Here is a 17,372-nt window from a genome sequence, read left to right on the forward strand (position 1 = left end):
TGGTATTTAAAAGACTTGGTCCCTCCTAGGGGCTTCTACTCTGGTTGAAGATATTGTAACTTTAATATTTCTTCCAAAACACAGTTGATGCAAATTAGTATTAAATGCCTCAAAGAATTTTTAACCTGTCTAATTAAGGAACCAAAGTTATTAGTGAATAATATATGAGATTTTTTTTAATGCTCATCAGGGATTGACAGAACCTAATGAATTCCTCTATTAAACACACCTCTGATTTTATTAAAGTTTCACATTTGATATTTCCATAGTTCACACTCAAGACTTCTAATCAGAAAAAACAGCCCCACAAATTTGTCATGCTCTTGATTACCTTTACATACCAAAAAGCACTGCTAATTATCAATGGAAATTCATATAAAGCCAAATTAATAATAACCAATCAGTTGTCATTATAAGTTATTCTAACATTTTATGCTGGTTTCTAATTATGTATTAGAAGACTAATTGGGAAAATCCACAGGTTACCCATCTGATGCAAGAAAAAATATCTGTTTTCATTAATTTTGTTAAAATGCAAACTACTAAGTACAGGAAGAAAGATTTCATTGCTTCAGAATTAAATTTTTTGTAAACTTTGTAACAAAAAGGTAGCAGTAATGTATCTTTTAAATATTTGTACTATTTTGATGAATTTGAGGTGGAGAAAAAATGTTTAAATCATCCTGAACTGAAACTCGACATACAATTTCTTATAAAAGAACATCTGGTTTGACTATATGAAGTAAGTTTTTCAGGCAGTATGGAAAGTCAGCCATCATCTAAAAGATTACTTCTTTTATGGGGAAAACCAGTGCAATATCCAAACAACTGACTTAAAAAAAACAAATTTTCAGAACACAATTTGTCCCAATACGGGGGATGTAAGTGTGCATATTCTTCTGCCTCTCATATAGTATTTTCTTTCGTATCACAGAAAAGCTCTAAATAAATGTAAAAGGAGGCATAAATTTTTCAGAATTATTGCTTACTATATACATTTACAAGCCTGTAAATTTTGAACTATGGAAACTTGGCTTGTCATCTTAGTTTACCCACTCAAAAGCTGTGTGATCTTGACAGTCATTAAGTTTGTTTAGGTCTTAATTCTATCACCTGTGTAAAAATAAAAAAGCAAAAAACCTTTGGGACTCATACAAGATAATGGTCTCTTTAACTCTGAAGGTGTATGATGTATGAAAATAAATATCTTACTTGTTTGGTATCTGAGAGAAGATTTCAGTCACCCACTTTTCCAAAGTATCCAGTGTTTCTTGAGAGGGGAGGGCAGGGAAGAGACAGGAAAATGCAATGACATTATTCAAGGTAGAAATGCAATTAGATTTCTCAGAGATCTTTAGCTAAAAAACAAAGGGATATTTTAATTTGGCCATTACTTGCCACTCCTGAACCAGTAATGGATGAACAGGAAAAATAACAGTAGAAAAGAAAACCTTACGACACACAGAATTTTGTGAGACCCCTTTATTTCTCCCTGGTAAAGTCAGAAAAGGCACACAAGTTTAACAAAAAAATATATCTTTAGCATTAGGCTAGTGTGAAGGACCAAGAGATAAGATTATGCCAACCATCCTACGCCCATTCTAAAACTTACATCCTCTTGGAAGGTTTTTCCGTACTAACCCATATTACATTAACCTCTCCTTTTTGCCATCTCATCAGTACTTTTATATTCCACTTGTTTTACATTAATGTACACTTGCTGAGGTTTTAACTCATAGGTCTTCTTTTTAGGCTTTATATATATATATATCATACATATATATGATTTATGTTTTCCTTTGATTCACTTCTTATATTTAGTAAGAAATTCTTTGGAAATTTATAGTAAAAAACAGATCTAAACGAAAAAGGAAACTTTTTGCTTTATCTGAGTGACCATCATTGAAGAGTATTTGTTAGTTCTACCAGGCACATGAATTTCACTAATTCTCAATAGAGAACCCCATTATATAAAACCTGGGATTCAGACTAATCATTTCTGAATTTATATTATTTATATAGATGTTTGACTCTTAAATGGTATAATTAATGCTAAAAATCTAAATCCTATGAAATCTACATTGTACATAGTTTTCATCAAAACTCTAGCCTAGGCACAGTGGCTGGGGCCTGTAATCCCAGCTATCTCAGAGGCAGAGGCAGGAGGATCACCTGAGCCCAGGCATTTGAGGTTACAATGAGCTATGATTGTGCCACTGCACTGTAGCCTGAATGACAGAGCAAAACCCTGTCTTGCTAAAAAACAAAAACTCTAGGACTTGTTTTAAAATTTTGAAATAAGCATTAATAAGCTCTTATATCTGCCATCATAGAGGAAGAGAATACAAAAGAAACAGAATAACTAGTTCAAGAAAAACACATGGAATTATTTGCAAACACAATAATCAAAAATTGTGAATTAACTTGGGGAATACCAAATATGGAATTGCCTAATTTAGCAAATGTAAAAGGAACCTAAAAGCAATTTGAACAGAAGAATCTACCATACCACGAAACTTTACCTTCAAGTCAACTTTAGTGAACTCATTTTGATCATAAATGCGAAAATGTTTTACATCTAAGAGCCAAGTCAGATTTGATCTTAATTTTGACAATGTAAAAAGCAAAACTTTATAAAAAGGGGAATCACATTAGGGTGAGAGGATTAGCATTTCAAATAGAAATGTGCAAACTATAAGGTATGTTAAAAGGAATAATTTAGCAATTTACTAACTTTGAAAAACAAGTAGGTTGAAATGTAAAGAAAACAAAAGAAAGCTTCCATGATTTCCTTAATGAGAAAAAGTGAATGTGAGTTACTGAAGACAATGATAAAAGAAGGAAAATAGAGATATTCATCAGTCTTTACATTTAAGATAGTTCTGCCATAGAGGTATTCATCAGTATTTTATATTTAAGATAATTCTTAAATTGTCACCATGTCAATCTCAATTAATCATGCCATTTTTACAGGACCTTATGTAAGAATGAACAAACCAACACTTTGCCCTGTAAGAGTTTGTAATCGATATAGAGTAAATGTAAAACCACAGATACAATTGCAGCTGAAGGTGGCTTAAAAGATCAATTCATGACCTATTAGAATATTAGTACATTCACAGACCAGCCTACATATCTTATCTTACAGATAAGACCTATTTCTGTAAGAGAAAAAAATTTGCCTGAGAATCTCATCATCTTGTGTTTCCCTGAGCTTTGCCACTAGCTACGTGACATCTCCAAGTTCTGATTTCCTTTACTTTGTATTAAGGTCAAGCACTAAAGTAATTAATAGTACACTACAACACTGATACAGGCAAACAAATCCTAAGAAAGCGCTACTTCAAGGTAACTCTAAGAGCCATAATTAATAGTTACCTTTGGATTGAACCACTAAAGTCATGTAATGAGAAGAGTAGTAACGCATCCAGAATTCTCTCAATCTAGCATGTGTATCAATATTATTCTTTCTTGGCTCATGCTTGAGCGTCTCAGCATTTCCTATAAAAGAATGAAAAAAATTATAGATATAACTAAGTTAACTTTGTTAAAAGTCTTCTACATCATCAATGCATATTTTGCTACCATACATGATTAATGAAATAACCCAAGGGACTCAAGAATATTGAACCAGTGTGCAATAATGTATTAATATTAATAAGACAAAAATGCATAAGAAACAATTCTGAAGTATATTTTAATATCCAAGGAATTAATCTCTGGGAAAACCTTAAAAAAACAGACAATAACTCCCTAAGCTTCCTTGCTTAATAATTAGTCTAGCAGTATTCAATCCAGGTTCTTTCTAATTATTTTAATAATATTTTTGCCTAATTCTTTTTTTTTTTTTTTTTTTAAAGACGGAGTTTCGCTCTTGTCGCCCAGGCTGGAGTGCAATAGCACGATCTTAGCTCATGGCAACCTCCACCTCCTGGGTTCAAGCGATTCTCCTGCCTCAGCATCCCAAGTAGCTGGGACTACAGGCATGAGCCACCACACCCAGCTAATTTTTGTATTTTCAGTAGAGACGGGGTTTCACCATCTTGGCCAGGCTGGTCTCAAACTCCTGACCTCATGATCCACCCGCCTCGGCCTCCCAAAGTGCTGGGATTACAGGCGTGAGCCACCGCGCCCGGCTATCTAATTCTTAAAAATAAAACACATGAAGCAAGAATGCCCTATAAAATGTATATAACTGTACAGAAATATACAGGGAAACAAAACACCCTTTAAAGAATAATTCAGATCATCTCATCCTAAATTTTACTCTATAGTCAACAGGATTAATATGAGGCTGTAACTAAATCCTCCCACTAAGAAAATGCCATTATGAAAAACAGACACCAGTTAAACAGTTTACTAGATGAACAAAATTAAGTCGCAGTTCAAAAACTCTTACAGAAACTATTGCTAACTCTGTTGACAAATGGAAATGTCAGGCTGAGGTAGAGCACAGACTTTATAATCAGATAAACAGATGTTCAAATCTCACATCCACCACTTACTATCTGTGTGATTTAAACAAATGAGATAACTTGACTGAAATTTAAAATAGAGATGGGGTCTCACTATGTTGCCAAGGCTGGTTTTGAACTGGTCTCAAGTGATTCTCCCACCTCAGCCTCCCAAAGCATTGGGATTACAGGTGTGAACCACCACGCCTGGCCTAAACCTGTTTATCTTTAAATGGAGATGATAATGGTACCTATCTCTGAACATTGTGATAATGATCAAATGAAATAATTCATGTAGTGTTAGCACAGTATCTGGCACTTAAAAAGCATTCACAAAATGTTAGGTGTTACTCTTGCTATATTCACTGTTAGAGAACCAAATAGAGGCATATTTAACAACTTCGCGTTTGAAAGGCTAACTAGCTATCCTAAAAGGTAAAAGGTACCTAGGGACTCTAGCTTTATAATTTTCAATTCTTTATCAACTTTTCTTATTCTAAATCTTAACTAGAAAATATGAAATAAGATGATGTATTTAGTATCTTACCCCAAAAAAATTTTCCCATAGGATGTCCAGGTCTAGCAAGGCTTCCAAACAACATTTCCTTTCTGTTTGCATCAGAAGGCCTTGCAAGTTGATATTCTGTCAATTTTAAATAAACACATAATAAAACAAAATTCAGTATCTCCTTTATTATATGGAAATTCAAACTTACAGAACAGAAAGCAAGGAATTAACAAAATTAACTTCATGAATCACGTGTTATAAGACTGAAGTGGGAAACTCAATGATCCAGGCCTGGCTCTATGACTTAATATGACCTGTAATTTTGGGTAAATCAATTCAGCTTACCAGAGTCTTACTCTTATTTTTCAAATGAAACACAAGGTAGTTAATAATCTGAAAGTTTCAGCTCTAGGATGCTATGTACAAGATTTTACTGATGAAAATGCTAATAAAATATTAATCCTTTTATCTGGGAATTTGGTCATATATATTGTTTAAATTTCTTCCAAAACCAACTATGTTGGTAATAAAGTATGATGGCTAAGAACAATCCACTTTGAAGTCAGAAATACCTTTAGCTACCGCTAAAGACTGAATGTTTGTGTCCCCCCACCCAAAATTTCTATGTTGAAACTTAATCCCCAATGTGATGGTATTTGGAGGTAGGGGCCAATGAGAAATGATTAGGTAATGAGGGCAGAGCCCTCATGAATGGATTAGTCCCTTGTAAAAGAGACCTCAGAGTGCTCCCTTGCCCCTTCTGCTGTATGAGGACAAAGAGTGAAGGCAGTTTTCTATGAACCAGAGAGCAGGCTGTCACCAGACACCAAATCTGCCAGTTCTTTGATCTTGGACTTCTCAGCCTCCAAAACTGTAAGAAACAATTCTGTGGTTTATAAGCCACCCGGTCTGTGGGATTCCATTATGGCAGCCCAAATGGACTAAAAACCGCTAGAACTGCAGTTCTGACACTAAGCTCAACAACCTTGAGGAAGTTATCTAACGTACCTGATTCCATTCCTCCAAAACTGTAAGAAAATAAATGTTTTATTTTAAGCCACCATGTTTCTGCAATAACAGGTAATATAGCAGACATGTAAACATATCTACGAAAAGTGATTTAAGACCCCTTGCAACTGATAAAAATAGAGTATAAATATCTGAACACTTAGAGACCATATTTGGAAAGGAAACAAACATTAAAAATGAAGAAGTAAGTAAATAAAAATAGAGACTGCACTTTGACACATAATTAAGATTTAAAAAGGCATTGGACATGCCTTTCATCTCAATCACTAAGACATACTATGCAGGCAATTATATATGTTTATGTGAGTATAAACCATCATTAAAATAAAAAGTCAATTATTAAAAATAATTTATCAGCCGGGCGCAGTGGCTCACACCTGTAATCCCAGCACTCTGGGAGGCCGAAGCAGGCAGATCATGAACAAAAGCACAACAGAATTTTTACTTTAGTTCAGCATAAACCAAAACTCCATACTGTGTGTGTATATACATATATATTTCTTTCAGCATAATTTTTCAAAGCATAATAAAATATATTCTGGCTTAAAATTGTAAAATCTAATTAAAGGTCTGCTTGTTTAAACACTGGTGTCAACCCACTCTAGAAACTGTATAAAGAAAAACATACTAGAAAGCATTTAAGACACAGATAACAGTTCTTGAGTCTCAAAATATGAAAAGTGCTTTTAGTTATCCTTAGTTGTTTTGTTTTTTCATCCATTCAACAGGTATTTAACTGGGTTTAAGGTAAAACAGACACTGTGGTAGGCAAGTAAAAAAATAAAGAAAATAAATCCTTGATTTCCAAGGAGCTACTACAGCTAGGAGGAGCTTAACCATTCCATCCTTTTTTACAAATAAACTGAATGCCACAGCTAGACACTTCTGTAAGTTAAACAGGGGTCTGTTGACTTCCAGATAGATCACTCTAGCCATCTGTAGTTTACTCAGCCTAGTAAATGCTTTACATCATTATTAGAACTAGACACTGCATCAAACCAAGGAGGGAAATACTACAAAAAGTGGAACAAATACAGAGACTTGCAGTGGCTATAAGCCAAGCCTAACCTATATGAACTGGAAGTCCCCTCAAGTCTAGTATTAAATGCTTCTAATACTTAAATAAATCAAGCAGGGATAATATACAATGGTGATATTTATTGGTACTATGTAATTAAGGAATATTTATAGCACAGATCTATAATGAAGCCTCACCCTATATAAGCACATTCTTTTCCTTTATAGTCTTCAATCTTTGAATCTCAAAAGATTAGCCCCTATGGTAAAACCTTCGAAAAACAAAGGATGAAAAAACTAAAATCCACCATCCTTTTCATTTACTTCAAATCTACACTGAATTAGATGTTTAATGACTTCAGGAACAAACATAACACATATTTCAATTTAGTCCTTTAAAATATAAAGATAAAATGGTCTAGAGATAAAGAAGGATAAATGTAATAAGTAACTGGTTTCATGAAGGAAAAAACTGTAGTTACACATAAAGTACTCCTCTTACCACTATCAACAGCTTCAACTTCACGGTCAATTGCATCTCTGATCATTAGTGGGTGGATGAAGAACTGCGCCCATCTGAACAAAAAACAAAACTGGCATTTCCGTTTTTGTTCACTTTCATCAATCAACATCTATTATTTTAATTAAGAAACTTACTAAGTTGGAGATTTAATTCACAATCCTAAGTATATAAAATCTAAATAATCTGCATTTCTATATTTTAAACTAATATCTACATGTTACTTTAACTTTTTCATTGTGAAATATATTTAATAACAATCATACAGAAAAGTTAACAAAACATGAACATATAAACTACACCTGAGTGGCCCACCCAGGTGAAGAAACAGACCATAGTCAACACTCTAGAAGCACCCAGCTCCTACCCTTACCTCAAGAAATATCCTGAATGTATAGCAGTAATTTCTCTCCTTTTCTTTATAGTTTTATTACCTATATACCTATTTCTAACCCAATGTTTATCAACCCTTTTTATTTCCATTTTCAACCCTTAGGAGCCTTTTCGGAAATGTTCTCCTATTCATTCCTTTGTAAAATTGTAATATCACAGATAGTCTATTTATGTAATGTTATGTATATCCATGTTTTTATAGAGTATATAAAGCTTACTTTTTTAGTTCAATGCAAGTTTACAGATGACTAAAAACGTTTCAGTTAAAAGTTAAATTAGAATTTTAAAGACTTGGTATTTAAGTTAATCTTATAATTTCATCTGCTTTTTAAATTAATTTTTAATTATATAAACTGTGATGTATCAAATTACATATACAAATTACCACTTATATAAATACATAATAGCAATGCAATTAAATTGTTAAAAATTATTCAAAGATTGGTGTATTGGTGTTTTTCCAGCAAAATAGAATGATTTAAAAAATTAATTTCCTAAAATGTTTAGTAAACTTTTTTTTTTTTTTTTTGGATATAGTGTCTCACTCTATCACTCAGGCTAGAATGCAGTGGCACAATCACTGCTCACTGCGGCCTCAAACTGCCGGGTTCAAGCAATCCTCCTGCCTCAACCTCCGAAGTAGCTGAGACTAGAGGTGTGCACTACCATTTTTTTTTAAATCTTTAAATTTTTTATAGAGACAGGGTCTCCCTATATTGCTCAGGCTTCTTTAAAAAACTTTTAACTTTTGCTTGCAATAAGGTAACTTTTAACTTAACTACCTGCTAGATATATTGGGGCATTTTTTTTCTTTTCAGTACTTGGTATGATTAATGATGGGTTGGATAATTTCTGTTGACTTAAATAATGAAACTAATTTTATTTAATTCTGTCACCCAGACTGGAGTGTGTAGTGGCACATCACGGCTCACTGGAGCCTTGAACTCCCCAGGCTCAGGTGATCCTCCCACCTCAGCATCCCAAGTAGCTGAGGCTACAGGCATGTACCATCATGCCCTGCTAATTTTTTTCCCTCACCATGTTACCCAGACTGGTCTCCAGCTGCTGGGCTCAAGTGATCCACCTGCCTTGGCCTTCCAAAGTGCTGGGATTATAGGCATGAGTCACCATGCCCAGCCTACTAACATTCTTAAAAGATATTTTTATTTAGTGTACAATTTATGATTCTAGTTATTAGTTGGTAGTTATTTTCCTTCAGAGCACGAAGTTGAGTAGTCATCTGTAAGTGTAACTCATCTTCCTTTGAAGAAAATTTTCTCTTTATCTGGCAAAAATTTTCCATATTTCTTCTAATGTATCCTTTTGGAAGTTATTAGACTTTAACCTCTGATTTGATGTCTTACAACAGGTTCTGAAAATTTTCCAGTGATCAACCCTTCAACTGTTGTCTCTACTTCAATTTTCTCTCTCCTCCTTCTACAACTACAAGTAAAATACATGGGATGTTTTCATTCTATCCTCTATGCTTCATATTCTTTGTATTTTTAATTTTGTGCTATATGCTATATTTGGGTTATATATGTTCTTTATGCTATACTTGGGTTAATTCCTTCTGTCTTATCTTCTGGCTTACTAATTCTATCTTCAACTCTATTTACTCTTAAACTTGTCCATGACATTTTCAATTTTTTTTATCATAGTTCAGTTCAAGATGTATCTTTTCATTTTACAAATTTCCTAGGTCATATTTGACAGTTTCTTATTCCTTGCAAGTATATTCAAATTTGTCTTTTATTTCTTTTTTTTTTTTTTTTTGTGACAGAGTCTCGCTCTGTCACCCAGGCTAGAGTGCAGTGGCACTATCTCGGCTCACTGCAAGCTCTGCCTCCCACGTTCAAGCGATTCTCCTGCCTCAGCCTCCCAAGTAGCTGGGGCTACAGGCACCCGCCACCGGACCCGGCTAATTTTTGTATTTTTAGTAGATATGGGGTTTCACCATATTAGCCAGGCTGGTTTCAAACTCCTGACCTCGTGATCCACCCGCCTCGGCCTCCCAAAGTGCTGAGATTACAGGCATGAGCCACTGCGTCTGGCCTTTATTTCTTAAAAAATAGAAAGTATAATTATTTTAGAAATTGTGTGTAACTATGCCAGTACTTGAGATGTCTCAGAATCTGTTTGTGTTATCTGTTCTCAATCATGTTGTATTATTTTCCTGAGTACCTGCTTATTTTTGACTGAATGTTGGTTATTTTACTTGAAAAAATATTTGTAACAATTTAGGGCCTAGAAGGAAGGCATCTTCCTTTTGAGATGCCTTATGTTTGCTTCTCCCAGGCTCCTGGGAACACTACCAGTTCTGCCCATGAAGCTACAATCAAGACTTGGGGTTCCCCAGAATACTCAGGCACTTGGAATCTAGGCTATAACTACTCAGGACGCCTCATCCTTTTTCACAACCTGAAAGTGAAGATTTTGTATTCCCGCTTATAATGGGGAGGGTCTCCTGTTAGAAGTGGACATCCTAAGCTTTGATATTTGTCACTCTTACCATGAAATACTGATAAAATAAAGTTCAAATTTACTGAAAATAGAAGACGCCACCATGGTAAAGACGGCTTCCATGCTCACTTACTTAACTGGAGTAAAAATTTAGTCATTTCCTCAGCTGTTTATTTAAAAGATACTTATAAACAATGTGGCCTGTGTGAGGGAATCAGATTTTGCTAACCTATTAAAAACAGGTACTTAATCCATGTTATATAAGAGCATATTACACACGTATAAAGGCTTTTCCTTATACATTGTAGAAGTATAATATTATAGCATTTATTATAGTATTTGCACCCTATAATGCTCTACTTATGGCATAAATTTATGATTTGATATTCTCATTAATTTATCCTATTAATGCAGTGGCTTTCTTATTGGGTGGCTTTCTTTTTAAATAAAAATAAATGTGTAAGGTGATATTCTTAGATGCTGAAGCAGTCCTTGTACAAAACATATTTAGAACAACTCTTTAAAAGGAAACAAAACAAATTTCTTAACTACATTTTATACCAAATTTCATCATCTCTGAGATGGCCAGAATGTATTCATATCATACATACCATTTGCCTATCCTTTTTCCCAATAAAATCAGTTATTTTTCCTTCTTTGTATATGGACAAAGCTAAATATAAAGTTGTAAAAATTCAACTTGTCTTCTGCTTAAGATTTCTTCACACATACAAAGACCTGTTTGGATTCTGTAAAACTTAAGAGCTGAGAACTCTGTAACAAGAGTAAAGATGCAGTTTTCTTCAAAGTTGTATGGTTAAAGTCTCCTCTGAAGGTATTGCTGATCCTGTCTAAATTTATAGGAAAGATCATCTCAGGCATCATTTGCATTGCCTTCATTGATTTATCTTTCTTTTTTTTTTTTTTGAGACAGGGTCTCGGTCCATCACCCAGGCTGGAGTACAGTGGTGCGATCTCAGCTCACTGCAACCTCCGTCTCCCAGGTTCAAGCAATTCTCGTGCCTCAGCCTCCCAAGCAGCTGGGATTACAGGCCTGCGCCACCACACCCAGCTAATTTTTGTATTTTTAGTAGAGATGGGGTTTCACCATGTTGGCCAGGCTGGTCTCGAATTCCTGGGCTCAAGTGATCCACACACCTTGGCCTCCCAAAGTGCTGGAATTATAGGCATGAGGCTGCAGTCAGCCGAGATCACATCACTGCACTCCAGCCTGGGCAACAGAGTGAGACTGTCTCCAAAAAAAAAATAAATAAATAGTGGCATATGCTTCCAATTTATAGGAATATGTCCAAAGGATTTTTCCAGATCAAATTAATCTCTTAAGAAAAGAGATAATTTCTTTTTATTTTATCTTTTTTATTTTATTTTGTTTTTGAGACAGAGTCCCACTCTGTCACTCAGGCTGGAGTGCTATGGCATGATCTCAGCTCACTGCAACCTCCGCCTCCTAGGTTCAAGCAATTCTCCTGTCTCAGCCTCCCAAGTAGCTGAAATTACACGCACATGCTACCAAGCCCAGCTAATTTTTGTGTTTTTAGTAGAGACAGGGTTTCACCGTGTTGGCCAGGCTGGTCTCGAACTCCTGGCCTCAAGTTATCCGCCCACCTCGGCCCCCCAAAGTGTTGGGATTACAGGTGTGAGCCACCACACCAGGCCAATTTTTAAAAAAAATATTAGATCTCTATCATGTTTAAAAAAAATTTTTTTTGGTCATTTATCTTTTGATTTTATGGTAATTTTTGCTATAAAGGAACTGCATTAATTCATTTAACAAATCTGAGTATCTACCAAATTATTGATTTGCAGATGTATCAACAAAAAATAGATAAAAATTCCTGCTCTGAAGGAGCTTACATTATACTAGACAAACGTGAGGTTTCTTTTTTCTTTTACATTTCAATCTTGCATATATCTAGAATTAGGTATAACTTTTTTCTACTTTTCTACTTTTTTCCGGGGTAGACTTTGGTCTGCAACCCTGTAATCTCAAACTTCTACTATTGTACTGACAAACTTTCTGGAAAACAATTTTGCAATGAATTTCAAAAGCTTAAAGAAAAAAAAAGTCTTAAAAATATATTTGCAAATATACTCAGCAATTTCACTGCTTAGAACTTAATAGAAATAATTAAGGATATTCACAGAGATCAGGATAATCATCACAGTATTAGAAAACTGGAAACAACTCAACTGTCCAATCATATGTAACTGATTAAACACCTTATGGTACTTCTATACAATGTAAATAACATACAATCACTAAAAATCATGTTTTATAAATTATGTAAGTTAAAATGATATATCTTGCTTAAAATTAACAATTATAAAAGGGTATGAACAATATGATCGGTATACTTTAAAAAATATAGATGGGTCTATACCAAAACATTAATGGTGGTTATCTCTAGATTATAAAGTTGGAGGCAATCTTATCCCTTTTTTGCTTCTCTGTTTCTCCATATTTTCTACTAAATTCTGTTTTTTAAGTGGCTGGGCAAAGTGGCTCACACCTATAATCCCAGCACTTTGAGAGGCTGAGGCAGGAGGATCACTTGAGGCCAGGAGTTTGAAACCAGCCTGGGCAATACAGAGAGACTCCCAATTCTACAAAAAAATTTAAAAATTAGCTGGGAGCGGTGGCACATTCAGCCTGGGAGGCTGAGGTTGCACTGAGCCATGCATTCATGCAATTGATGGCCAATTGCACCACAGCACTCCAGCCTAGGCACCATGGCAAGACCATATCTCTTAAAAAAAAAAAAAAAAAGTCATAATGAGTCAACAGAGAATACATAATTAATAAAATTAATAAAACCCAAAAGGTGTTGACTTTTATTTTAATCTTTAATACAAAGACTATATATAATAGAACAAGAGTCAAAGTGTATTTAACAGTTTAACAGCTTTTTTCTCCAAATAAAGTTTTGTTTGAGACAGGGTCTCAAACAAACTCTGTCACCCAGGCTGGAGTGCAGTGGTGTGACTGTAGCTCACTACAGCCTCGAATTCCTGGACCCAAGCAATCCTTCCACCTCAGCCTCCTGAGTGCCAAGGACTACAGGCACTCACCATCATGCTTGGCTAATTTTTTATTTACTTATTTTTGTAGAGACAGGTTCTTACTATTTTGCCCAAGCTGGTCTCAAACTCCTGGCTTTAAGCGAGCCTTCTACCTCAGCCTCCCAAAGTACTTGAGTTACAGGCATGAGTCACCATGACTGGTCCAAGTAAAGTATTGTGACAATTCTACTGTACAAGAACACTCTATTTACATTTGCAAAGTGCCATTAGATCATTAAAATTAAAGTATATTTAGAGTTAGTTACCTATCAAGAGCTTCCTTGAAGTACTTCCTCTGGACATCAAACTGAAAGACAGTGCGTTCACAATCAGTTGAGGCATTATCACTACCCCCATGCTTCTTCAGGAAGGCATCAAATCCATTCTCATCTGGATATTTCAAACTACCCATGAATACCACTAAATGGAAAGAACACAAAGTCACACAACACAAAGATATAGAAAATATTTTTATCACACATGAACTTTCTTATATGCATAGAAAAACTGAAAGAAAATAGACCAACACATCAAATGGTTATGTCTGAATTCTTTTTTTTTTCTTTGAGACAGAGTCTCACTCTGTTGCCCAGGATGGAGCACAGTGGTGCAATCTTGGCTCACTGCAAACTCTGCCTCCTGGGTTCAAGTGATTCTTGAACCTCCTGGGTTCAAGTGTCTCAGCCTCCCAAGTAGCTGGATTACAGGCACTTGCCACCATGCCTGGCTAATTTTTTGTATTTTTAGTAGAGATGGGGTTTCACCAGGTTGCCCAGGCTGGTCTCCAACTCCTGACCTCAAGTGATCTGCCCACCTCGGCCTCCCAAAGTGCTGGGATTACAGGCGTGAGCCACCACACCTGACCCTAAATAATACTTTCTTCATTACATTTGATTTTGTAACTTTCTATTATGCTCATGTTACTTTTATACTAAAAAAAAAAAATTTCATCTTTAAAGAAAGATAAGACGAACATATAACTTATAAAGAGATCACAAATATATTTAAGTCTAAATAGATTAAAATTCACCTTTTATTAATTAGATTAAAATTCAAACAAATTCACAAACATATATGCAGATTAACTGCTACTGCTGTTACAACTTAATCTCTTCAATTAAATTTAAGGAGATTAAAATTTAAGCACAAACATATGCAGATTAATGGCTACTATAAAAATTCACAAAGTAAGAAGTATACCCTCAAATACTTTAGAAAACCAGACCATTAAAAAAAGAGTAATTTAAAATAAATATTTGTAAAATAAAAATAAATATTTGTAACTATATAACATCCACATAGAGTTTTTTTGTTTGTTTGTTTGTTTTTGAGCTGGAGTCTCGCTCCGTCACCCAGGTTGGAGTGCAATGGCGTGATCTCGGCTCACTGCAACCTCCGCCTCTTGGATTCAAGTGATTCTCCTGCCTCAGCCTCCAGAGCAGCTGGAACTCTAGGTGTGCGCCACCATGCCCGGCTAATTTTTGTGTTTTTGTAGAGATGGAGTTTCACCATGTTGGCCAGGCTGGTCTCGAACTCCTGACCTCAGGTGATCCACCTGCCTTGGCTTCCCAAAGTGCTGGGATTACAGGAGTGAGCCACCGCGCCCGGCCCCGTGTAAGTTTTATTTAGGTACATTCCAAATTAAATGAAAAGCTTCTATTGTTTTGTTTTTATATTAATCATGCCTTTTGAATTTCTAGGTTTTTTTTGTTTCTTGTTTTTTTTTTTTTTTTTTTGAGACAGTCTTGCTCTATCACCCAAGCTGGAGTACAGTGGCACAGCCTCAGCTCACTGCAACCTCTACCTCCCAGGTTCAAATGATTCTCTTGCCTCAGATTCCCAAGTAGCTGGGACTACAGGTGTATGCCACCACGCCCAACTAATTTTTGTATTTTTAGTAGAGATGGGGTTTCACCATGTTGGCCAGGCTGGTCTCGAACTCCTGACTTCAAGTGATCCACCCACCTCAGCCTCCCAGAGTGCTGGGATTACAGGCGTGAGCCACCTCACCCAGGGAATTCCTGTATTTCTGATGTTTGGCTGGGGGCCTTGCTAACCCTGGAAGGGACTGCCCTCCCCAGGACTGGTCATTTCCTAGAAAATGGCAATCATCTCCTGATCCGTTGGCCTTAACATAGCTCAACAATAGTGACATCTACAGTTTAAAAGTTTTCTGTGTGGTTTCATTCTAACTCTCAATATAAGTACACTCAGATTGTTTCCCCCACGATATTCATAAATCAAGGATTTTTTCTTAGCCTTTTCTCTTGCTAAATATATCATACTTCTGTCAAATCACTTGCTAATCTTTGATATCAATTCATATAAGTTTGGAGGGGGGAAAAAAACACACCAGGAATGATATTTTACAAATTCTTACTGTGCTCCAAAAAGTGTGCCAGCCCCGGCAGGTCATCTGGATCAGCGAAACTCCCAACTCCAACACAAAGAGCCGCTGCAGACTGGAGTAATTAGAACACATACAAATAGTTGAGTCAACCCTAAAGGAATAATATTCGCATCTTATCTTAAGGATTCATTTGGAGATGGATGTTTTCCAATAGGAGTAACAAAATTCTTTCCCTGAGAATCAGGAGGAGCAGCAAAGTGAAACTCACCAGAACTGTGTCAGTTTCACCCTGCTGCTCCTCCGCTTGCCATCCTGCCAAATGCTGAACAGGTGCAGACCTAAGGAAAAAAAGCAGAAACAGACAGAAAAAAAGGGAAGAGGGACTGGACAGCCCACCCAAATATCATTTCATGTCAGCATTTCATAATTCTGAACCAAGTTTTTTCCCTGAATTACTAGATTTTGGAAATCTGCGGAAGTAACATATCTAGATAGATATCTCTGAAGATCTCTAAGCAATTAAAAGCTTTGTGTTGAGTGACTCAGTTACTAGATGTGAAACCTGTCAACATGTAACTTAGAAAATTTTGTTAAGATAGAATAAGATAACATTTTAGGAAAACATCTAACAAAAATAGTAAGTGATAAAAAAAGATAAAATCGGTAGCTATTAAAAAGTATAACTAAATTTTAAAGAGGCTTTTTAGTTCTTCACTTCTAATTGAAGATATACAGCATATATTACTTATCAGTATATATTCTCCCAATACTTTGGGAAAATCAGAGTTTTTAACAAAATTGATGGCCAAGAGGTACACCAAACTGCACTTAAAATGATTGGGACTTTTTTTTTTTTTTTTTTTTAAGACAGGGGTCTTGCTATGAGGCCCAGGCTGGTCTCAAACTCCTGGACTCAAACAATCCTCCCACCTCAGCCTCTCAAAGTGCTGGGATTATAGGCGTGAGCCACTGCACCCGAACTATTGGGGCATAATTACAGTAAGTTAAAAGACAAAAAAAGGAGAAAAAACGGTCAATTTGAATCCTTGAAGATAGAAAGGCGAATTATTAACTTTCCCAAATTTGTTTTCTTCAAACTTTTGTAAATGTCAATTTTACAGGGCTAACATATTTGGTGAAACAGATTGTTTTAATAAACAGTTACCTCTTAAAAAAGAGCTTTTCAAAAATAGCATGTACCTGGCATAAAGTCTAGCCATGTGTCAGAAAATGAGTGTGTTTTCAGAAGAACCAAACAGCCTCACTTGATACTATAAACCCCATTTTGAAGACTTAGGCACATAAACTCAGTTAAAACATTGGGGAATATCCAGTTCTTCAAACCACAATCTAACCTGTTCTGTGATGTTTTAATAGGTGCCTAACCTGCTTTCAGCTCCAACTACCCCATAAAGATTTCTTGTCTCGACCAGCAGGGTTGAAGACATTTTTGAATAAGTTGACTTAAACCACAGTCTATCAGTCAGCTTTGACCACAGCAAAAACAGGCTCTGCAATTGCTAGAAAAGAAATTCATACTTGAGAATTTTCTACCTA

General features: G+C 35.5%; 1 protein-coding gene and 1 non-coding gene across 4 annotated transcripts in view; both read right to left on the bottom strand.

The window, feature by feature from the left end:
* The window catches only part of NRDC (nardilysin convertase), an 89,518-nt gene that overhangs the window by 31,076 nt on the left and 41,070 nt on the right, over positions 1-17,372 (bottom strand). For 2 of the 3 annotated variants that reach the window (NM_002525.3, NM_001242361.2), the window contains exons 3-10: positions 17,202-17,335; positions 16,084-16,153; positions 15,846-15,927; positions 13,732-13,885; positions 7,511-7,584; positions 5,002-5,097; positions 3,379-3,501; positions 1,213-1,270 (exon numbers count right to left, since the gene is read on the bottom strand). In NM_002525.3, coding sequence (NP_002516.2) covers positions 1,213-1,270; positions 3,379-3,501; positions 5,002-5,097; positions 7,511-7,584; positions 13,732-13,885; positions 15,846-15,927; positions 16,084-16,153; positions 17,202-17,335 — 791 coding nt within the window. The remainder of the gene's footprint in view (positions 1-1,212; positions 1,271-3,378; positions 3,502-5,001; positions 5,098-7,510; positions 7,585-13,731; positions 13,886-15,845; positions 15,928-16,083; positions 16,154-17,201; positions 17,336-17,372) is intronic. The other variant, NM_001101662.2, reaches the window with a different exon arrangement.
* Positions 16,059-16,117, bottom strand: MIR761 (microRNA 761). Its single transcript, NR_031580.1, has one exon. It is a non-coding gene; the product is annotated as a microRNA 761 (primary transcript).

The sequence above is a fragment of the Homo sapiens genome, chromosome 1 (genome assembly GCF_000001405.40).
Source record: "Homo sapiens chromosome 1, GRCh38.p14 Primary Assembly".
NCBI lineage: Eukaryota > Metazoa > Chordata > Mammalia > Primates > Hominidae > Homo > Homo sapiens.